General features: G+C 36.8%; 1 protein-coding gene, 1 long non-coding RNA gene and 1 other non-coding gene across 6 annotated transcripts in view, besides 9 other annotated features; all 3 read right to left on the bottom strand.

The window, feature by feature from the left end:
• CHD2 (chromodomain helicase DNA binding protein 2) overlaps nt 1-5,687 on the bottom strand; it is a 127,673-nt gene extending 121,986 nt beyond the window's left edge. For both annotated transcript variants that reach the window (NM_001271.4, NM_001042572.3), the window contains exons 1-2: nt 5,187-5,687; nt 4,712-4,844 (exon numbers count right to left, since the gene is read on the bottom strand). In NM_001271.4, the coding sequence (NP_001262.3) occupies nt 4,712-4,773 (62 nt within the window). In that variant the 5' untranslated portion in view covers nt 4,774-4,844; nt 5,187-5,687. The remainder of the gene's footprint in view (nt 1-4,711; nt 4,845-5,186) is intronic.
• Nucleotides 880-2,079: an enhancer, noted in NCBI's record as "MED14-independent group 3 enhancer chr15:93447162-93448361 (GRCh37/hg19 assembly coordinates)". NCBI's record gives its function as "activates an origin of replication core promoter dependent on BRD2, BRD4, P300/CBP and CDK7 cofactors, and independent of MED14, by STARR-seq in HCT116 cells {active_cell/tissue: HCT116}" and the evidence as "EXISTENCE:reporter gene assay evidence [ECO:0000049][PMID:35650434]".
• Nucleotides 1,319-1,558: an enhancer, noted in NCBI's record as "active region_10131". NCBI's record gives its function as "activates an Ori minimal core promoter by ATAC-STARR-seq in GM12878 lymphoblastoid cells {active_cell/tissue: GM12878}" and the evidence as "EXISTENCE:reporter gene assay evidence [ECO:0000049][PMID:35858748]".
• Nucleotides 1,536-1,612, bottom strand: MIR3175 (microRNA 3175). The gene has a single exon (NR_036136.1). It is a non-coding gene; the product is annotated as a microRNA 3175 (primary transcript).
• Nucleotides 1,719-1,768: a silencer, noted in NCBI's record as "silent region_6850". NCBI's record gives its function as "represses an Ori minimal core promoter by ATAC-STARR-seq in GM12878 lymphoblastoid cells {active_cell/tissue: GM12878}" and the evidence as "EXISTENCE:reporter gene assay evidence [ECO:0000049][PMID:35858748]".
• Nucleotides 1,839-2,018: an enhancer, noted in NCBI's record as "active region_10130". NCBI's record gives its function as "activates an Ori minimal core promoter by ATAC-STARR-seq in GM12878 lymphoblastoid cells {active_cell/tissue: GM12878}" and the evidence as "EXISTENCE:reporter gene assay evidence [ECO:0000049][PMID:35858748]".
• Nucleotides 5,349-5,558: an enhancer, noted in NCBI's record as "active region_10129". NCBI's record gives its function as "activates an Ori minimal core promoter by ATAC-STARR-seq in GM12878 lymphoblastoid cells {active_cell/tissue: GM12878}" and the evidence as "EXISTENCE:reporter gene assay evidence [ECO:0000049][PMID:35858748]".
• Nucleotides 5,599-5,668: an enhancer, noted in NCBI's record as "active region_10128". NCBI's record gives its function as "activates an Ori minimal core promoter by ATAC-STARR-seq in GM12878 lymphoblastoid cells {active_cell/tissue: GM12878}" and the evidence as "EXISTENCE:reporter gene assay evidence [ECO:0000049][PMID:35858748]".
• Nucleotides 7,264-23,168, bottom strand: CHASERR (CHD2 adjacent suppressive regulatory RNA). Of its 3 annotated transcripts, NR_037601.1 has the most exons (6): nt 22,825-23,168; nt 22,233-22,426; nt 20,427-20,496; nt 19,757-19,842; nt 13,939-14,007; nt 7,264-8,287 (listed from the first exon to the last, which is right to left on the bottom strand). It is a non-coding gene; the product is annotated as a CHD2 adjacent suppressive regulatory RNA (long non-coding RNA). The 3 variants fall into 3 exon arrangements; NR_037600.1 differs by lacking the exon at nt 22,233-22,426; NR_037602.1 differs by lacking the exons at nt 22,233-22,426; nt 22,825-23,168 and adding an exon at nt 22,468-22,715.
• Nucleotides 22,442-22,691: a silencer, noted in NCBI's record as "silent region_6849". NCBI's record gives its function as "represses an Ori minimal core promoter by ATAC-STARR-seq in GM12878 lymphoblastoid cells {active_cell/tissue: GM12878}" and the evidence as "EXISTENCE:reporter gene assay evidence [ECO:0000049][PMID:35858748]".
• Nucleotides 22,685-23,326: an enhancer, noted in NCBI's record as "H3K27ac hESC enhancer chr15:93425915-93426556 (GRCh37/hg19 assembly coordinates)". NCBI's record gives its function as "activates a minimal SCP1, AML or CMV promoter by ChIP-STARR-seq in primed H9 embryonic stem cells {active_cell/tissue: H9 hESC(primed)}" and the evidence as "EXISTENCE:reporter gene assay evidence [ECO:0000049][PMID:30033119]".
• Nucleotides 23,312-23,441: a silencer, noted in NCBI's record as "silent region_6848". NCBI's record gives its function as "represses an Ori minimal core promoter by ATAC-STARR-seq in GM12878 lymphoblastoid cells {active_cell/tissue: GM12878}" and the evidence as "EXISTENCE:reporter gene assay evidence [ECO:0000049][PMID:35858748]".

The following is a 23,450-nucleotide window of genomic DNA, read 5'->3' as shown; positions in this document are numbered from 1 at the left end:
AATAATTAACTGCAATGTTGACTACTTTGACCCCAGTTTTAGGAATTGAAAGGTATTCAGCAAATACTATTAACACAACTAATTAGAATTCAGTCTCTACACAAAAAGGGAGGTGAGATTATTACTTTCGTTCTTGTGGCAGGTATACTTTAAGTTGGAAGCTACAGTTAAACGTTCATCAAGTTCTATAAACACTTAATTCTCTGTTAGCATTTTATACGCAATATACATTTGAGCATATAATTTTAAAATCAGGTACAAATTATTTGATGAACACTTCTCTGTAACAGAAAAAGCAATTTCAGCTAGTTTTCACAAACTATCCAAATAATTCTTCCCAAAGAACCTAGATTATGAGAACCTACAAAACTCACTATCATAGTGAATTCTAACTTTCACAGACTGTATTCAGAAACTTGACATACGCCCAAGCAAATATCACCTGCACTGAAGGGTCAACATCTCCTTTGAAGTAACACACTTTACTAAAATAACTCTAAACTATGGCTAACTACAGGACAGCCTACTCCAACTGCTAAAAAAACTCTAGTATGGCAGGAAAAAAACTTTGTCCACAGTAGATAAATCCACTGAATTTCTTGCTTGCTTAAATTCAGTATGTGTAATTTAATTATTAAGACATCGTTGCTGAACGATGAAGTTTTAACCAGAAATCCTTGTAAAGGTTTCCAAACAAGGCAAATCAGTGAGCATAAACCCAACCGTTTACCGGGACTCAGAATTCCCGAAATGGAGGCCTAGGGAAGATAATTGCGAAGATTTGGCCAAGTGACCCCACTATCAGCCAAGCTGTCAGTCACCCTGCATTAGCAAGTGCTATTAACACTTAAAAGAGTAGTTTTCTGACATTTACTTACATAGTAATGGTTGCCTAACGCTGTATTCTGCCACTTTTTAATGTTATTGAACGTGAAATTTTCTATTTTCTACTAAACTATCCCACTGTGAATCTTAAATATATAGTACTTAGCACATACTGACCTGAGTTTTTCTCCATCAAATGCCAACTGAGAAAATGTACGGTACCAAGTAAAAACGCATGGGGACAAGTTCAAATAATCTTCCCTTTGTTTATGAGCCATGTATTAAACAGCTGTTAACACCCGTCAAGAGGTTTTCACTAAAATAAAAGTATCCGCCTCTGACACTCAAACGTTTTGGTCAATTGTAACAAAATTAAACCCACTCATCTCTTCACACTGAACGGGGGCGGGGAGAAGGGACGCTAAGGTATGAAAAGGGAAAATGTAAAACTGGGCAAATTTTCTATTTTAAGATTTCCAAATAGTGCCTTTAAAATTTATAAATAGTGCCTGCACTTTTTCTCCAAAAGCAGCCGCTTCTCAAAGAGGATAAACCATTCCCGGAAATGGGCAAAAGAACACACTACAGGGTGCGGACCGCTACAGGCAAGGGCGGACAAGACTGCCAGGAGCAAACGCGTCCAGGAAAGAAGCCGCCCACCGGAAAGTCCCAACTAGAGTTCCCTTCCTTTTCCCCTCGGCGTGCGGCTCCCTGGGTAGGGGGAGGAGAAAGCGCCCGACATGCGCACGCGGCCAGACGTCACTGCGTTCTCTCCCCGCCCCCCAGGGGAGCCGTCTGACGTCACGGGGCGGAGGCTGCCGAAGGCGCCGCCGTTGACCCTGCTGTTACCAGGCGCGCGCACAGCCAATCAGCACCCCGCGCCGGCGCCGGCCGGCCTTTGAACTCGGCACGGCAACTTCCTGCTGTTTGGCGAGTACACAGTGCAATGCAGTATGTCTGTCAGCGCTGCGGCACAAAGGAACAGCCATTTTGTGACTGAGCTGGACCTGCATCAAGATGCCAGGGGCTCAAAGAGCTGCTGCGTGCCCTATCGAACTGCCTTTTATGTCGGCACCAGAGTTCCCCAGAAGAGCAGAGAGGGGGAAGGAAATAGGCTTTGGTATTTCAGATTTCTATTAGTTTAGATTCAGTCTTCTCCAAAATCCCGTTTTTTAATGTATTATCAGCGTCATAAAATGGCTGCCAGTTAAACTGCCTGTTCTAGTACACAAGTAACTGCATTATGCCATTTCTAATCATCCCCAGCCTTTTAGAATATCTGGTAAAGCGCCCCTGAAAATTGTAGGATTTACCCGCACCTCAGGTTATAAAAATAAATCTGGCTCAAAGGCAGACGATTTGGAGATAAATTTAATAAACTCGTTCAATTCTTAAGATAAATTGCTAACGTGGTGCCGTGGAGAACACACTGAACTCTTTGTGTGCACACAGTCCCGTTTTCATTCTTTGATGTTACTTAAGTTATCCCCAAGCTGCAAATTATTCAGATAAAAAGTATGGTATACTTCTCGTATGTCCATCATTAGAACTTTGTTTTAAATACTTAGAAATTTTACAAATATCAATCAAATGTTTTTAAAATCGCGTTTTTTAAAGTTTTTAATTTTCAAAAATCGTGATAAAGTATAACAGACTTTAGCATTAACTTCAAATTAAAATACAAACTTATATAACCACTATTAACTACTGCACTATTTCCAAAAACAGGGTATTACCAGATTTACCTAAACTTGCACTCATTCTTTCCAGATACTAAAGTAATTCTCAGACCAAAGTTTACTTGACCTGCAAACTCATTTCCTCTTCTGTGGCTCAGGCTGCAAAGGTGATTTTCGTAGTATTCCCTAAACACTATACTTTGGGCAATAAAAACTCTGATGGCAGAAGGAACCAAGTACTAATTACAGGGACAGTTCAGCTCAGTAGAAGTAATATTAATCTACCACATTAAAACACCACTAACATTCTACAGCTGCACATTTTAAAAGGAAGTGATGTCATAATTATGTACATGTATTAAGATATGAAATTTAGGGTAACTAATTTAAAAGTAACTATCTTCTTTTCAAAGAGTCTTAAATATTTTTGGACATCCATCAGGTATATGATTCAAAGTATACTTGACAAACCAATTTAAAAGTACAGTCAGTACATGCTTCATGTACAGCTGTAACCTCCACTACCAGTAAGCAAATGCCTGACAACTTCCAGGTAGTTTTCCAGGTGAGAGTAAAAATACTGAAAGAATACCAACACTGCTCAATTTTTTAGAATTAGAAAGCACAGTCTGATCAATGATGTTAACCACAAACCTTGCATAAGAGAGCCAAAACCCATGTGAGACCTATGCAAATGATACACTCAAGGGAGCAACAATTTTAGTGCTGAATCTTTAATAATTTGCCAAATATATCTGGAGGTTCTCATTTCTTCAAATTGTCATTACTTTCCAGAAAAAAACAGCTTAGGATGAGTAAAAAACTTTTCTGTCCTCAATTTAATCTAGTAATTTACATGGGCAATTCAATTAAGACAGCACTACAAACTGGGTGACAACTCAATGCAAAAAAATTTGGTAACTTATTTTCTAAAGCAAGGCTCAATATGCTTTCAGTCAAATAAAATAAATAGAATTCAGCATATTAGTAACACATCATGTTCAAAACTTTCAAATTCACTAGCCTAATAGAAAAGTGTATTATTTATAAAAATTAGAAAAGTAAAAATTGGGAAGGAAAACCACATAATGAATCACATCCTTGTTAAACTGCATGATTTAAAATTTATAATATGAAAATGCATAAAGAACACATCAAAAAATGCATTCATATGTACTTTTAAAAATTAATATACAGAGGTCATACAACAAAAACATCTTAGAGGCTTTATTACTTCATCACTAACAAGGTACTCCAAGGAATGTGAAACAGATCATGATTTGCACAAACAGTACATTTTTAAGCTTCAGAAGATAAAGCATTCCAGACGACTCTGTCGAAATACATCAATAAATTTAAAGCAGCTACATCTAAATTGTGAGGATAAAATACATCTACCAACAGGAAATCAATGTCTTAAGCATACAAATGCAAACCTTAAAATAATTTAAATGTAAAATATACAACTGCAAATATTAATCACAGTAACAAACACAAAATAGAAGTATATATTAAGAGTATTCCAGGATTTCTGTTATTACAGATTTGATTTCATAAATGCAGGAACTCTAACCATCAAGTAAAGGTTTTGATAAATCACATCAAAATTTCCTAAAATGTCAAGTGTATCAAAAGAAATATAAAGTCACATAAAAATATAAACTGAGAGGCATCAGTCAAAGGGTCCTTTAAGTGATTTTGTTTTTAAATGTACATTTTTTCATTCATATAACTTTCTGATATGTCTATTTACTATAATTTACTACTACAAGGCTTCTCTATGGCCCTCAGTTACAAGTTTAGATATCCTGGATTCTTCAAAGAAAAAATTTGCCTTGTATGTAAAATGGTGCAATGCAGCAATGGCTAAACCGACAAGGTCATTTTTCTGCAGTACAAAAACCTAAAAACTGAAATTTACTGACAGAAAAACTGTACATTACAGTAAAGGCCCCTTTGAATAAAGGTACCTTACCTTTTGACTGCTGTAAGAGGCCTTAAGTCACAACTCAACTTTCATAAATTGCTACCAAAAAATTAGGGTGTGGCATATTAGCAATCTCAAGGTCATGCTTTAAAAAACGAATCCAAATTAGAAAAACACAATAAAACAGACAGCAATCCATGTCTGTCAAGGTAAACAATTGTAAGCTGAGGTTTCTCCCCCAAAAAAAAAGACAAAAAGGAAGAAAGTTGATAGCTCATACCTCGATGCATTGCTGTGTAGCGAACTGTCCTCCTCTTGGCTTTTGTCCTTATTTCTCATCATCTTTTAATTCTTAAATATTAAGGGGGAGGGGGAATCTGTGTTTGCTTTGAAGTCCTGTGCCCAGGTATTTACTGTCAAAAGTTGAAAGAAAGGTAAGGTCCCGGCTTCTATCGATGCTTTTTATTATCAGGAACAAAGTCCTGACGATGTTAACGATATTGTTATAACACAACAACGGTAAGCACCAAAAAACTAAATATTTCTATTTTTTCCTTAAAAGAAAAAACAACAGGATAAACCGAACAGTGGAAGCATCACTATCAATAAGGAAACTTTCTCAAAGTAGCACACTAGATACAAATAACAATCTCTGTATCTTATTGCGTCATCCAAGAATTTCTCGTATTTACAGAAAACAAGGCAAACTTAAACAAATAAATCTTTAAAATTATCACCAATGATCGTGAACTTACCTGATCCATGTAGTATGTCCAAACCAAGAGTCCTATCTACTAGTAGAAAAATATCAGATCCCAAATAATTAAAAATAAAGGCAAAATCCTCCGTTAAAAAACGAAAAATAAATAAAATAACCCTCAAATATGTTAACTGGTCAAAAAAATAAAGCAATAATTAATACTAAAACAGGTCCGAAAGAAAAAAAACCTCATTAGGAGAGCGCACAAAAATGGAGGTGCGCCATGGCTTCTAAGCTGGAAAAAACAACGACCTGGGCTCTCAGTACGGCTGCTTCTTTCCAACAAGGCACGAAAAGAAAGCTCCTAAAAGCTGCTTTTCTCCCAAAAAAAGGTTCGAATCGACCCCAGTAAGTCCCTAGGAAAGGCAGGGGGCTACGGGGGCCCCCTGAGGCTGCCCGAAAGTTAGGGAAAGTTGCGTAAAGTGAGGCAAAGGCAGGGAGCAGAGCGCGCTCTCTCTAAGGCACAGCCGCCATCTAGAGCCTCCTTCCCAGCTCTGAGAGCTCTGCCTTTGATTGACACTCTCTACATTTACCCCACAACTCAGGTGATGTACCATAGACCCACCCCTTCATCTCCACCAAAAAAAAAAAAAGGAGAGAGAGAGAGAGAGACAGATCCTCCATCCCAGGGAGCCTAAGGACCCCCACCCCCACACCTCCCTGCCCCTCCAGACCACCCCAACAGGGGGAGGGGGGAGGGCTTCTTAACCCCCTCTGGCTCAAGCACCCTTTTTAAGCCAGAGAGAAATGTAATTTGTTCCTTTTGTCTAAAGATCTGCTAAATATTTCAGTCCTTGAGCTAAAATAACTTCCTCCCTGGACAGGAAGTGGTGTTTTATCAAGCCATTTTGAAAAAGGGATAATTCTTAGAGAATCTAAAGCTCAGCTAAGTACTAATCTTTTTAAAAATTAATCCCCCAATGGGTGAAATGATTGCTAAATAAAAGTAAAACCTTAATTTCATAATATAAATTCAAGTTTTTCCTTCTTTATGATGCCTAAAAATAATCTAAAGACAAAATTTAAGGGGGAATTTTCCATCTCCACTGGAAGAAAGGGGTAACTTTTACAACTCAAGAGCGCCTCCCTAGTGTTCAAGTTGCACTGGAGCAAAAGTTAATGCAACCAATTTTTATTCAAGAATATCCATTTTTCTTTGTTCTTTCACAAAATTCTTTAACCCATTATATAACCTTGAAAATATTACACTCCTCCCCCCAAAGAAACTTCTCATAATCACAATATATTTACTTCCCATACTGATTCAGGCAAAAATTCAAGAGTATGGTCCAAACACGATCACCTTTAAATCAGTAACCCAAGAAACTCCACGTCCAAATCCAACAGAAAACACATATCCCAACACTTCCCTTATATTTCAAATCAAGTAAGTATACACCCATTTCAACAATGTTATTAACAATAGGACATACGTGATTGCAAATTATCAAAGTAATGTCACAAAGCAAATTCTCCTAAATATCAAAACCATGAGATCCACAGAAACAAATTACTAATTCCAGAAACAATATCCTACCAAGCACTCCATTCAGACAAGCATATTCACACACCCAAAAAAATCCAATCAACTTTCCTTATTCAACATAATCTGCCAGAACCATGTCTCTCCCTCACTGAAGAAATCCACTTTAGATTTACACCAAACAAAATCAACAATGTCCAATCTAGGTAAAATCCATAATCCAAACTGTTTCAATTCCATACTCTACACACAAAGATAAATTTCGTAGCAAGAACAATATCCAAAATTCCATTTTTGAATTTAACAAAGACCAACCACCTCACATCAGTCAATAACAAATGGTGCTCGTGTATTAACCATGGATGTGTATGCTGCAGTATTTGACATGAATCACAAACAGTATGATTAACACAAAACAATTTAACCTGAACTATTTATTCTTCTCATGTAAAATGGGAAAACAGAATCAAGAACTCATTTTGTCTACCAAAATAATGCCTACCACCTTTGTAATAGTTACCAAAACTGGTATCAGTTGATTAGTAATAAATGAAAACCTGGCATTTAAAAATCAAACGTAAGTAATCTATGGCAGGGTGCAATTCATTTATTCTAAATCCCCAATTGTACAAAATAAAGACGATACAAGATATTAATCCTACTTCAAAGTTATATAAAATGGATTACACACATAATTTCAAATTTAAAAAATTGTGAATACTCCAAGGACCCTAACCCATAAATCCAACACTTCTTCCTCTAATAGTAAGACAATAGGAGACATTAATTTAAATATTCAGATGAATATTCTATAGCAAGATGTATTTATAGTATTAAAAAGCTTAAGAAACCATTTCAATCAACACAAAATAATTCAGAAGTATATGTGTATCACTCATCCTGAATTTTCGAGCAACAAGCAGTTTGTTTCAAGTTCATTAAAATCTTGTGGCAGATTAAAATCAGATTCTATTATTACCCATTGAGTTGTTTTGAAAGGTGTTTCATGAAAGCACAAACAAAACAGTATTTAAACCAAATGACCATCTAAGAGCACAACTTTGTGAAAAACGTAAATCTTCATAAACCAAGTAAAATGTTTTCGATTACACCATTTCCAATTTACCAGCTTTATTCATATTCAGTACACTTTACCACTCGGCAACTACAAAGGCCAAAGTATTACTAAAATAAAACTAAACATTTAATTAAACTTCCACTTAAAAAAAAAAACCCAAACTGAGAAATTTTTAAGTGTTACAAATTTTATTAAAAATTAACATTTCAAGAGGTCATACGCATACAAATCAAACTGCAAAAAATTCCAGGCATAAAAACTATTATCTGGGTTAGTGTGCCATCTTTCTTCTCCAAATGTCAAAATGTCCACAAAAAAAGTCTTTAGAAAGTCAAATCCACTGTCCATTTGTGTTGGGTAAGAAACCTATGTCTTCATTCACTGCATGGAATCCATGTTAAAAGAACCCTGTCTTGGTTGTATATTATCACAGGACTCTTGTATTAATCCATTTTTCCTCAATTCCCCATAGTAGACTGCCATCTTGATTTCTCAGTGGTAGGGTCCATTTGAAACTCTTCAAGCTGACTGGGTGCTTGATGAAAAAATTAAAAGAAAAAAACGCTGTTGGCATCTTAATCTTTTAAACAGAAAACATCCACCCACCTTGAAGATATCCTACCATACACAAAACTTTCATTTTGTAACAGCTTTCAACTATGAAATTGTAAAGTTGTATGCAAAACACACACACAACTCCTTGATAAGACTGCACGCCAAAGTAACAAAGTCCTTGTACTACCACAGATACATTTGTATCTATAAAAAAGTCCCAGTGAAGAGTCAGATTTTTAATATTTAACACTAACATCATTATACTGTGTACATAAAAAGTAAAAACAAAAATTAAAATTCAAAATTCCTGGAAAGCTAAATTACAGAAACACTGTGGATTCTAAATCTCAATGCAGAAAACTTTCCAAGCTTCTTCAAAGAAAACTAATTATAGAAAAGAATCTTAAGGGATTTGAAAAAAAAAAAAAACATACACACATAAAGCAGTCGATCATAGCATAGTTTTTCAATCCAACAGATGTTGGTTTTGTTTAGATAACGAAAATGGCCACTATAGGTGGCACCATCTTTAACGACATATCTGAGAATACAGAAAAGATGTAGCCACCAAAAAAAAAAAAAAAAAAAAAAGATCAAAAATGCAAAGTATCTGCCTGGCTTGATAGATTTGCCATAAAATGCTGTTTTCAAATTATATGCAACTAAAATAATACACTTTCATTACCAAAATACCAAATGTCTCTCATAGAAAAACAAATCCATTACTTAAATAATTTTAACTGAAGGGAGAAGTGAGAAGTGAGAAGTCAGATGATTTTATCATTAAATAAATGATTCAGATTCATCATGACCAAACATAATTTGAAAAAACAAGATTTAAACCCTGGTCTTCTCTATAAATTTTCCAGCTCTCCATCTGAATTTGTGGAGATACAGTCAAGTGTGACTGAATTTGAGGTAAATAAATATAAGGGCATTTTTGCCCATTAGGTAATTCCTTGTCTCCTTGGCAACAATTAGGATACTGTTTACTATATACAATACAAAAATCTACTTACTTAACTATTTGGTTAACTGAGATACTGCCACCCATATTAAAAAACATTGATTAAAGGGAGTGTCACAGCATCAGTAATAAATATCAAAAGCAAGATATTTCTCCTTGATTTTGCTCATTTCTCCCCAGCTTTAAAAAGAAAACTAAATTACTCAATTCATTCCTGATCTCAGTAAAAATCTTCCATCTGACTTGTTCATTCCTTAAAATTAAGGGACATGTACTTCTATAGAGAAGTATAAAAGTAAAAACATCATTCTCTGTCAGAGTTAATTATAAACCAATTTATTTTCAATCTCTATTGTTACAAGATTCAAGCTCTAAATGAAGTTGGTGATGTAAATACTATTATGATGAACAATGACACTGAGAATGAAAATGCATTATCAAATTACAGTCATATTTCAATATCTATAGATGCAATTTATTTATCTTAGTACCTTAATTTAAAAAACTCAAGTTTTATATTTTTCTGACACAGGACAGAGATAAAATTTATCCAGATTTCCTTCTAAAACCATTATTTTTTTCAAAAAATCCAAAGAAAATCTAATGACATTATTAATATCATTTCAAAATTACTCAAAATATATTAGTTTATGTGACAACAGCAGAGATTAGAAAACAGCATATTTATCATACTCTTACAGTCATATATTTAAAGATAGTAAAAAAAAAAAGTAAAGAAAAAAATGCTACAAGAGAAAACTCTGACAACTCTTAGGACATGAAAAAAGCTATGATCAATCTGCACTCCTGCAAAGCCAATCCAAAGCCAAAAGTGAGAATTTTGTTAATAAGGAAAAAGTGTTCACTGAGGCATCAGAGATTTAGGAGTAATCCATTTATTTTCATAGAATTCAAATTCTTATAAAAACTGTATTTGCTAAAAAATAAAAAGAAATTAGGCTTAGTTCTGTGAGCCTGGAAATTTTCTTAGAAACAAAATCCACAGTTCTTCATCTGTAAAATAAAAATAGTACCTACCTCCTGTGGCTGTAGAAAGAATACTTTTATAGGATTTTTATTACCTGACATATAGAAAGATCTCAGTAAATACTAGCTATCATTCTGATGTACCACAATAACCAAAGTACTTTGAGACCTACAAACTGACCTTACTGAATCAAAGTTCATTTATACATCATCAGTAAGAGTATCTCTGAAGAACACACAGGATCATGGGGTCAGCAGTCTTGCATTAAAATAAAATCAAGATCCTACAGAAAACTGGGTAGGGTTTAGATATCAAAACCCTCTACATGTTCCTTTCCAGTAACTTGTGAATTACTGCAGACATGGAAGACATGTTTTGATCTAGAATTCCATAATCAGACAAACCTAGATCTTTTCTGTATTTCACATATAACCTTCAAGCTCATAATATAAATGGTTAACAAAATTTTTCCCCTTTGATATTCACTAGTTTATACTTCCTTTTCAAAATAATGTGCATGTTCTAAGAGTACCATTCCCACAGCAAAGGTAAAAACTTAAATGGCAACAAAGCTTCAATGAGTAACTACTACCCCTTAAAATTCCCGCATTATCATACATCCAGAAGAACATAAAGTTGAACATGGAGGTATTCTCTTCATTGTATTTTTAATTATTTTTTAAGATGGAGGTCTCACTACGTTGCCCAGGCTGGTTTCAAACTTCTGGGTGGAAGAGATCCTCCCACCTCAGCTTTCCCAGTAGCTGAGAACACAAGTACATGCCTCTGCACCCAACTAAGGTTTTTTTTTTTTTTTTTTGAGACGGAGTCTCTCTCTGTTCCTCAGGCTGGAGTGCAGTGGCGCAACCTCGGCTCACCACAACCTGCACCTCCCAGGTCAAGCGATTCTCCTGCCTCAGCCTCCCAAGTAGCTGGGACTGTAGGCGCATATCACCATGCCTGGCTAATTTTTGTAATTTTAGTAGAGACGGGGTTTCACTATGTGGGCCAGGCTGGTCTCGAACTCCTGACCTTGTGATGCACCTGCCCTCAGCCTCCCCAAAGTGCTGGGACTACAGGCCTGAGCCACTGCACCTGGCCTGGTATTCTTTTTAAATTCTACTTTAGTAAATTTGTTCCAAAAACACTGGGACATGATAAAATACATTGTTGGTGGATACACAGGTAAGTGATTCACCATCTGGATTGAGTTTACAAGGGCTCTCCTAAAATAAACCATCTCCTTTCCTCTACTTCTCAGCAACTTTTCCCATTTTTAATAGCAAAGAAAAATGGGGCGGGGGGCAGGGGCAGAGAGTAGTATAAGGAAAAAGAAATTAGTGATTCCTAATTGTCTTAATGGATGGCTATCATAAAGCTACTATTATTAATGCAACAAATTATTTTAAAACTTAAAACACTTATTTCAAAGTCAATGATGGGACAAACAGGTGTAAAATTACCTAGAGCAAAAATTCATCCTTCTCATCATGTAATTAACATTCTTGGTGCTTATGATGATTTCAATCTTCGTCTACTGTCTTTAAATGTGGAAATATTTATGCAAGAAAGCCCTGAGAGGCTGGGTGCGGTGGCTCACACCTGTAATCCTATCACTTAGGGAGGCCAAGGCCAGCACATCCCCTGAGGTCAGGAGTTCGAGACCAACCTGGTCAACATGGTGAAACCCCATCTCTACTAAAAATACAAAAATTAGCTGGGCGTGGTGGCACATGCCTGTAATCCCAGCTACTGGGGAGGCTGAGGCAGGAGAATCAATTGAACCCGGGAGGCAGGGGTTGCAGTGAGCTGAGATCGCGCCACCACACTCCATCCTGTGCAACAAGAGTGAAACTCCGTCTCAGGGGAAAAAAAAAAAAAAAGGAAGCCCTGAGAAGTAAATTCACATATGTTGACTTATTACCAAGATACCTTGAATCTTCAGTAGAATATATATTAACAAGTCTGGGTCTTATGGGCATAAAAACTAACTATAAAATTAATGTCAATTGTGACAACTAAGAAAAGGAGTCATCTTATTTAAGGTTTACAATCAAATCAAATATTCCGGTACCGTCCTCAATGGTTTAAAAGTTGACTATATATGCAAACTAAGAGATTGAGAATTGCAGAGAAAAAATGAAATCTTGTCACTTTTAATTTTTACTTGGTCAAAACTTTGGCTTTCAGGCATACCTACAATTTTATATTTAATTCATTAAAACATGTTTTAATAGTCAATGTCACTGTTTTTAAATTAAATCCAAAACACTAGCTGATAAACAATGTTTAACAGAAGCCATATTGATACACTAAGTATTTATTGAGCATCTACTATATGCTATGCAACTGATCCCTTTAAAATGACCACAGCCAATTATTGTACTATATTAGAAAAGTTTTCATCTCTTTCATCATCCTGTATTGAAAAACAAATCCCCCTCCAAAAATAAAATCTATTTCGCAGGCCCTAGCAGCCATTTACACAACGCAAGCTAAAGTAGCCATAGGCAAAAATTATCATCTAAAATCTAGATTCCCAAATATGATTCAAAAAAATTATTTTTATGAAGTAGCTAATATATAATTACCAAAAAGGTTGTCAATAATAAATCATGTTGGCCAGGTGCGGTGGCTCACACCTGTAATCCTAGCACTTTGGGAGGCTGAGGCGTGTGGATCACCTGAGGTCAGGAGTTCGAGACCAGCCTGGCCAACATGGGGAAACCCCATCTCTACTAAAAATACAAAAATTAGCTGGGAATGGTGGTGCGTGACTGTAATCCCAGCTACACTGGAGGCTGAAGCAGGAGAATCGCTTGAGCCCCAGAGGCGGAGGTTGCGATGAGTCAAGATCATGACACTGCACTCCAGCATGGGTGACAGTGGAACTCTGTCTCGAAAAATAAAATAAAAATAAATAAATCATGTTGAGAATTCACCAAAATTCATTTATACAACCTTCCCATCAACTCTTTCCAACTATTTTTCAGGCTGTTAGAAAAACTATTTCAGAGGTGCTAACCATGTCTTCTAACATCAAAGCATAACTTCAGGGACAATCAGGCTAAAGAACTTTTTGTTGGGCTTTCAAGTTTAACTTCAAAATTAATTAATTAAAAGTAATTATAATATTGGAAATCATTAAAAATTATGTTCTATTACCAAAAGAGAACCGAAGGGCTTCTGAGTTCTATACAGGTTAAGGCAATGCTGACAAAAGGAAAAGCTGTAGGACCTAGGATAAACTTTCCCTACAGATGAGACAGGAAATATTTTAGGCTTTGTAGGCCATTCAATAGAACTCCTCTGCTTGCTGCTGCTATATACTGAGAAAGCAGCGGCAAACAATAACTAAATGAAAGCGTATAGCTGTGCTGCAATAAAACTTTATTTACAAAAACAAAGAGGAACCATTTAGCAACATCCATGTTTATAATAGTGTTAGAGGTATGTTCAAATGTGGGTTTGTTTGCATTTTAACTTGCCTAAGTGAAGAAAGCAGAAAATAATAGATTGGAGTAAATTAATAAGCGAAATTTCCATGTTGATTTTCTTGTACTGTGTTGAGTTTCACTAAATCCCTCTTTACAATTCTGACTCGAATTTTCAAAATTTCCAAAGTAGTATTTAAAATTTCTAAACAGATTAAACATGTAAATTGAATAATACTTACTAAATGTTTCCACCAATGTCTACTTCATTGTATGGGGCCTTTAGAGGATTCAGTTTGAGGTTCATATTTCTGCAGAGGACAAAAAGAATTTAATTTTATACATAAAAAATGAAAACAGATTATTAAGCACCATGATTTATACCCAAAATGTCAACATCTTGCAAGGGTCATTTGCCAATAGACCAAAAGATGTATGTATGTATTAACAATACAGTCCAAGCAGAAATCATACAAGCTCTTGAGTATCACAAATTTGGCTCCTCTCTAGAATAGGTTACTACAAAATCACAAGCGTAAGTTTCAGCCCCTAAGAACTCCAAAAATGTAGGTAAATATTTGGGCTCCCCAGGTGGATCTGATGTTTGGGAACGAGTTATTTAACACAGCCAACATTGCTCTTACAGTACAGAATTGTTTCACTTTCTAGTCTTACATCTATTTACTTTCAATCCTTCTACAGGAAAGTTTACATTGCCCACCTGTAAGGCCACTTTCTCATTCCTTAGTATTACCATATTATTTCACATTATTATGTCTTTAATCAACACTAAGACAAAATGTTAGGAAACCATAGGCATCATTTCAAATTACTACTAATTGTACCAATCTATTCAACTAAACCAACACTAATCATTCCTAAAATATATACTTGATAATAAAAATGTATCCGGCCAGGCCCGGTGGCTTACACCTATAATCCCAGCACTTGGGGAGGTGGAGGCAGGCAGATCACTTGAGGTCAGGTGTTTGAGACCAGCCTGGCCAACATGGTCAAACCCCGTCTCTACTAAAAATACAAAAATTAGCCAGAAATTGCTTGAACCCAGGAGGCAGAAGTTGCAGTGAGCTGAGATCGCATCGCTGCACTCTAGCCTGAGCAACAGAGCGAGACTCCGTCTCAAAAAATAAATAAAATGTATCCATACTTTCCACTAGTTAGACTTGAATACCCCATAACTAAACATGGAAAATAGCGTTTCCCATATCTCAAGTAACATACCTTTTTCATCACTTCTGTTCCCAAGTATGATTACAATAATCATCCCACCACCACAAAGAAAACTTATTTAAAAGTTCAATATGAAAATAGGCAGGGCGCAGTGGCTCACACCTGTAATTCCAATACTTTTGGGAGTCCAAGCTGGGTGGGTCACCTGAAGTCAGGAGTTCGAGACCTGACCAACATGGTGAAACCCCAGCTCTACTAAAAATACAAAACTCAGCCAAGTGTGGTGGTGCACGCCTGTAATCCCAGCTACTCAGGAGGCTAAGGCAGGATAATCACTTAAAAACGGGAGGCGGAGGTGGCAGTGAGTTGAGATCACACCACTGCACTCCAGCAGCCTGGGCAACAGAGCAAGACTCAATCTCCAAAAACAAAAACAAAAACAAAATGTAGCAATTTAAGGTTTTTAGAAGGCAACGAAGTTTAGGATTTTAGTTAAAACTATGCTACCCAAATGCTTCTTTAGGACTAATTTTCAAATTATAGAGCAAGTCCCTGTTTATCTTCCCAAATCTAAATTCCTTTAGTCATTCGGACAGATCATAATCAAGAAATATAGCAGGCCGGGCGCGGTGGCTCACGCCTGTAATCCCAGCACTTTGGGAGGCCGAGGCGGGTGGATCATGAGGTCAGGAGATCGAGACCATCCTGGCTAACAAGGTGAAACCCCGTCTCTACTAAAAATACAAAAAATTAGCCGGGCGCGGTGGCGGGCGCCTGTAGTCCCAGCTACTCGGGAGGCTGAGGCAGGAGAATGGCGTGAACCCGGGAAGCGGAGCTTGCAGTGAGCCGAGATTGCGCCACTGCAGTCCGCAGTCCGGCCTGGGCGACAGAGCGAGACTCCGTCTCAAACAAAAAAAAAAGAAATATAGCAAAGATCTGCTTCAAAATTGCTCTAAGAGTAGGTGCTAAATTATCTTCCCAAGAAATTGACAAATGAAGCAATTTAAAAGGAACACAACATATTTCTGATCTTCCAAATTTAATCTGACCTTATAAGTAACAGAGGGTTTTGTGAAGACAGACAAATCGTAAACCAAGTAAACCCTTAAGAGAAGGGCAGAAGTGACTTAAGGAATCTCGGTAAAAGAAATGTCTAAGGGAAATCCCTCACACTGCTCTGATAATGTGCTTATAAGTAAGTTATCTACCAGTAGATAGGGTTCTCACACCACCAAAGACAGAAAATGTATCTCACTTTGCATCATCACAAGAATTAGACACTAATGTAATCTACCATAGCATCTCCTTCCCCATGCATCACTCACAAAAATTACTAACCACCAAAATTGACAAAGTCTAAAATCACTTTGCCATCCTTGGAAAGACAGGAGAAGGGAGCAAAATTCAGCTTAGGCAGACTATGAAAGTTAATGATTTTGCTCGTATTTCCACCTACCCTATTTCATAATATCATAGTTTCAGATTTAATAACTTACAGGTATAATATACATATTTTGGTTGTTGTTCTTTCAAACAGTAAGGACAGCTTTAGTCAATTGTCATATTATCATTAGTCATTTATGCTTTTCTTAGAAAACTTGGTTTTTAAAACCATTTTTTACTTTTTCTTTTTTTTTTTTTTTTTTTGAGATGAAGTCTCGCTCTGTTGCCCAAGCTGGAGTGCAGTGGTGTGGATCTTAGCTCACTGCAACCTCTGCCTCCCAGGTTCAAGCGATTCTCCTGCCTCAGCCTCCCAAGTAGCTGTGACTACAGGCGCGTGCCACCACATCCAGCTAAATTTTTTTTTTTTTTTTTAATTTTTAGTAGAGATGGGGGTTTCACTATGTTGGCTGGGCTGGTCTCAAACTGCTGACCTCACGTGATCCACCTGCCTCGGCCTCCCAGAGTGCTAAGATTACAGGCGTGAGCCACCGCGCCTGGCAAATTTTTAACTTAAAAATAAAATCTGAGAGCACCATTAACTATAAAGTCATTAATATGTCTAAGAAAATTCACAAACCTCAAAGTTAAAATATAGCTTTATAATCTAAATTAAAATGACTATGATTACTATGTAGCACACGCTTAAGATATAATTGTTTGGGAAATAATTTCAAATACATGGCTTCATTTCAAAAGGCAGAGGAATGTTTTCTAAAACAGATCTGTCAAGCAACATACAAGGTATGTATCAAAACTTTTATCATATTGTTATAGAAAACATGCTACTTGAATGTTACATAAACCATCAAGTCACATATTTATAACCTAAGGATCAGAATATCCTTCAATTTAAATTGTGAAGGTTAATTACATTAAAAAATAATAGCCAATTTGAAAATCAAAGTGCACTGAAGCATTCAATCTGGAAGGAGGTAGCTGGTAAAATGAAGACATTTATCTTTCATGTACAAAAATTTTGTAAAGGAAATTAAATAGATTATATCAGGCATGCAAACTATAAATCCTCTTATTTATAACATAATCATGGTCAGGTGAAAAGTATTAAATAAAACCACTTAACTTTATATTAGGTACATTTACTACATCATTAGAAAAATTTTTTAAAAATGCTTTTACTGAAGCATTCTAAATATTGTTTAAAGACAGTACAATTCCTTAATCGCTTCTCTGAAATCAGTTTACAAAGTCTGTATAAGAGTATTAGGCATGCCTTAACAATTATTTTTATCCCACAATTTGAGAGCTAATAGGGATCTTAAGAGCTTGGAACTCTAAAGTCTTCATACAGATTATGAGATGAAGGTACAAAAGGAATAAAATATCAAGACCGCAAGGGCTTATTTACATTGGAAGGTAGGTCTCCTGAATGCCGAAACGTGTTATATTTTCCACTCTATCACCACCTCTGATTAACAAAAGATAAAGAGACGTCCTCAACTTATCTTTCTCCCCCTTATGCCGCTCCACAATCAAATCTCAGAGGATAAAAAGTAAAATTAATTAGTTGTCCATAGTACAAATTTTTAAATAATCAAAAAACGATGACTAATAGTAAATAAAACTTAAAATTTACATTTGAAATTACCTATTTCATATAATCTATAAATGTCATGTCATGAAAGCCTTGTGATTACACAGCATGGCTCCTTTCATTTCTATAGAATGTCAGGTAATTTTTTAAACAGTTTCTATCAGAACTAATGCAATCCAATTCAATCACCAAGTTGATCAGGAGATTTTTATGACTCAAGAATTATCCCAAAATGCTAGGGTAAAAACAATTATATAAGTATCACCTTGGTTCTTAAGCAGAAAACAGTGGTAAATATACAATAATCCACCTTCCTTATAAAATATAGTACTTTAATATCATATCTACATGATCCACTATATTTATCTTATATAATATTATCTATCTATAATAGTTATCTACATTCACATTTGCCCTCATGTGCCAATCAATTAGGTTCATTATACAAGATTGGCTCAAGCAGTTAAGTATCAAAACACTGAATATATGCAGTAACAAAGATCTAAGTACATGTGAATCTTTGATTTAACATTTCTAGCCCTTTCCAGCTGTTTTCTTTTTTATGAATCAAATTACACCTTCCGTAGGCCATTATAAATGTATTGCCTGTTTATACTTAAACACAGATTATGCTTCACATAAGAGACCCATTTCTCAATTTCCTTAACAGTGCCCAATGACAGGAATGCCAATTTAATATCACATCAATTGCACAGAGGAAACCCTAATCTCGGCATTTGTGTTAAAGAAGTTTTGAAGTGAGGGATGTTTCAACTATTCTTGTAAATGTTGTATCTTTAAAACACTACAGTTAAAAGTCAAACATTTAGTTTTCTCTTGCACACTGTAATACACCCAAGTTTGATCGAACTGCAAAAAAGGATTAAAAAGAAGTTAAGCTGAAGCAAAGGCAATAAAAATATTCCTCTTACCACCTATTTCAATCAATGGAATAAGCCAACACCAAGTATTGAAAGACTGTATTTTATTTTCCACATAAATTTTGAAGAAAAGGTAAACTTGCCCTTATTTTAATTGGTCATTTGGCGATTCTTAAATTTTCCCAAGATACCCATTATTATACCGCGTATTTCCTCTAGTCAATCGCTAATAACAGCTTGACATTAATTTTCAGATTCAACGTTAACTTACAAAAAAGGCATATTTCCTTAAAAACATCAGTGGACATTCTTTTAAATTCACGTATCTAGCTTTAAGATTTTAAAGTGTGATATACATGGTATGCTGGGGGCCCAATACCTACTGCGCGTGAAAATTATCTCTATCTTTCATGCTTTAAAAGCAATTACTAAGCAATTAAATTAGAGGACTCTTTAGATGCATTAACTCTCATTTCCTAGAAAACAACACATTTTTGGACCTGTTTGAAAACTCATGAAAACAATTAAAATGAGTATTTTAAATCTATTAAATGCCTAAGATATGAAAGTGTCTATTTAGTTTTTGAAATGTTGTTAAGAATCCTACGATCAGCAAATGCAAAATTCCAGACCATTCCTAAAATGTGATTTGTACAATCAAAAAAAAAAAAAAAAAAAGGCTTAAGACTGTATATACCAGATTTGTAAAAACATAATCTTGATGACTTTACTGCAGATTTAACCACAATCCTAAAGCACCATTTTATTAAGAAGTACTAAATGTCTTCCTGCTCCAATATAAATTACATGCATCGACTGTCTTGATAGTAATAGAAGTGTTTTCAATGTCAGGCAAAGAAATTTGATGGTTTTCTCATCCTTTCAGTGATAAGTAGTCTACAGTTTGTTTCATTAACAAACTTTAATGGTATTTTTCTACTTAAATGTTGGTAACTATTCAATTGCAGATGTTGGGTAAAAACATTTACTTACTTGCTATATAAAATACTGACTTTCCCAAAGATTTCCTTTATCCTCTAGGATAAAACTCCAACGTCTCAGTCTTCAAAATGGCATACCTTTTGGTGAAAACAAATAAGATTCTAAACTTAATTATGAAGCAAACAATAGCAAGTAAAAATAAGTGTTTTTAAACTTTTTAATTACAAAAAAGAAACTAAAATCTATGCTCAAAACCTGATTTTTTAAATGTTCTTCCCTAAAATCTATCAGTATGAATAGCAAACTAGTTCAAATTCTCCAATAAGCTTATTTCTTTAAATACTTAAAAGATTAAAATTGTTTGCACAATATACAGAGTTAAACAGAAAAAAAAAGCTATCTTTGGTTCATGGTTTTCCTCAAAATCTAATCAGTCTTCTCTTGTTCCCAAAATTAAACAAAGGCTTAAAGGACCTTCAGTATTTTAAACTATTCAAAGGGTACATTAAGTTACAATGGCTATGCGTATATACTTTTAATCTTTCCTGCAGTGAAAAGGCTTAAAGGCTTTTGTCAAATTATTTGATAGTTTACTCATATTCATAATCACAACTTTTAAAAATGATACCCATTCATTAATTGAAATGTAAATTATTAAAGATAAAACAAAAGCCTAATAAGCTAATTTTTGTCAAAACAATAAAAATTAACCCACTCTTACCTCAAATAAAAGAACTCATTATTTGTTCAGAACCAACAGCAACCAAATTAATTTTAATCTCTTAAGTCACCTTTAAAAAAAAGAAGAAAGATGATATTAATGTTTTGATTTTCAAGCATTTCTTGGCCAACGATTCAGTGTGATGAAACAAGAAAATATTCCACAGACAAAAATCTATGGGCAAACTGAAGAGATGGCTCATGGACACATAACCTGTATACATTTATGGTTGCAGTTATTTCTTATCTTAGTATCTATCAGTCTTTGTTTTCCTCATCTTTTGGCTGTATTGACCAATGCTAAAGATTAACGCATTGAATTAAACAGAAATACAGAAAATTCAAATTTTTGGACTGATTTAAGATTATGAACCTTTTTTTTTTTACTTTCCCTCTTTTTATGACAGGCAATAAACAAAGAAAAAGTTTACCATTCTTCAAGACAAATCATCTTAACATCTCCCTTACCATCCGGAAGTATGTTTTACAATCATGAGCAATTAAAAATTAGCTCCTCCAAGAGAAATTAGTGAAGTTAAAATGGCCACTGGTTACTTTAAATTTTAAACCACAAGTTACTTGATCTCACCAAGTGGGATACTAGCTTTGTCTCTAAAGCTACTCTAAAACTTACAGTATCTAGACCTTTACACTCAATTTCAAATCAGGGTCTTCAACATTTTCATTTCAGTCTTTCTCCTCCCCCATTTATCATGTAAAAAGATCTTTCAGGTTAAACTGCTAACAATTATTTTGCATTTCACAATTCAAAGAGGATTCTAAAGAACTAGATTCAGAATATTCATTTAAAACCACTTTCAGTGTTCAAAAATTTCAGAAACATTGATTTGAAAAACCAAAATTGGTACTTAAGACAGATTCTGTAAAATCAAGATATGCGCAACTGATGTAACATGTACCACTATAGGAAGGCTACTCAAAAAATAAAACAATTTTACTGGAAAAATGCCCTTAGAAATATGGTCGAATAAACCAGTATCTGATTTCAGATGTACTATGTAAGTCTGCCCAACACTATTTTTACGTAGTTCTGCACCTTTACAACACAAGAGCTCCGCAGAATGAAGACAAATATATTCTAAAATACACAAAGGTTTGTGCGCTTCTGGTTTGTTCTTCAAACCACTACACTTAAAAATTACCCTTCCAACATTTTTCTAAGATTAGAGACTATACAGAGAACTCTACTAAATTTTATGAAACCTGTACTTTTAAAATACTGTTCCGTTTTAAGCATATCTAGATTTTTATACATGCAACAAATGCAACAAATATGGCTCCTCTTCATCGCCCATTACCGAGAGCAGTCCTACTTTATTCATATTTACATTACGAGAAAGTAACTTCAGGAAGAGATTTGGTGTCAGAATGTTCTTTTGTGAAAGTTTTTCGATCATGGCTTGTGATAATATAAATTCTTAAAAATAATTAAATTATGAACTTTTAAAGACTAGGAATTGACCCAAGTACGTTCTAACATTCAGGTGTGAGAAGTTGCAGATAACGGCTCCTTGAGACCTTTTTAAAAAGTACCAAACAGTGTATTTAATCATATTTAAATATCAGGAGATCAAATGATCTTGGCGTCATTACTCGGTAAAATAAACTACATTAACCAAACGTCATCAGCTAGCTAGCACCGTAATTATCAAATCTATTTCCATTAAACAGCCTTGACGACACAGTAAACTTGTCTTCGTAATTCTGAAATACCAGAAGCACTCCTCCAACTTGCATTTTTCAAAGACAACCTTAACGTCATAAAGGTTTAATAAGCAGCAAGTACCTTCGCATGTATCACTGCAGCCGTTTCAAAATCGGCTTTGAAAGAGTTAAAAGCCAACACCCAATAGGAGGGAAAAAAACAAGTTTTATTTTTGTTGAAACGTAGTCAGGGTTCCATTGTTCTTTTAAATTCGATCATGAAGATGAGTTCCCACCTCACCGGAAAGAGGTTAAAAAGCTCCTCCGTTGGAGAACCTGAAAGGGATTTTTTTACCCTAAATATCAAAATAACTCACCAGGACAGAAAGGGGCTCTCCACGCCCGATCCCCTTCGGGCTCTCGCCGGCATTCACCCGCCGCCCCTTTCCCGGCGGATCCAGTCCCGGCGACGAGGCTGCCCCCCGCCCACCTGCCGCCCGCGGGCTCTGCAGCGGGGCCCCGCGTGCCCCCTACCCCAGGACCCTACGACTCGGGCCCAGGGCACCGAGGCGCATCCCGCCGGCGAGAGCCGGCCCCCGACCACGGAGGGGCAGTGCGAGAAGAGCCGAGCGGCGAGGCCCGGCCCGCCGCCCCCTCCTGCTCGCGCGCTCAAGGACATTTTGCTTTTCCTCCCAAGGACAAAGGACAATAAAAGGAGCTAGGGAGCCACTCACCGGGTCCGAGCGCGGCCACCGGCACCTCCTGGTCGCCCAAACCCGAGTCCCGGGCCGGACCGCCCGCCCGAGCCTCCCGCCCGCGCCGGGTCCAGCCGCCGGGGCCCGGGGGAGCCTCCGAGGCGGCAACCGCAGCGGCGCTTTCGGCGTCGTGGGCCCGGCCGCCCTGGGCGCCTCTGCCGCGGGCTGTGACGCCGACGCGCGCGGCCCGCCTCGCCTCAGCCGCGGCAGCCCCACTCCCGCGGGCCTGCTGGCCGTCCGGGCGTAGCTCCCCGCCGGCCGGCGGGCCTCGCGGCCGCGGCGGAACGCCTGACAGCTCGGGGTGCTGCTGCCTCTCCGGCCATCTTGTGCCGTGTGTGTGGTGTCTCTCTCCCGTCTCCTCTCTAGGCTTTACTCCCTCCTCCTCCTCCCCCCGCCCCACACACCACACAACATGGCCTCTTCGCTGCGGCGGCAGCGGCTGCGGCGGCGGCAGGAGCTCCGCCGCGCTCCAGCCCGCTCCCCTCCCCCACCATCCCCGCCTCCCGCCCGCAGGCCCGGGGGCCAACGCGCACGCGCGCCGCCGCCCGCCCGCCGCGGCCATTGGCTCCACGAGCTTCCTGCATCCCCTATCCGGGAGCGGCCTC

Source organism: Homo sapiens, chromosome 15 (genome assembly GCF_000001405.40).
Source record: "Homo sapiens chromosome 15, GRCh38.p14 Primary Assembly".
Classification (NCBI taxonomy): domain Eukaryota; kingdom Metazoa; phylum Chordata; class Mammalia; order Primates; family Hominidae; genus Homo; species Homo sapiens.
This window is presented reverse-complemented; position numbering and strand designations above follow the sequence as displayed.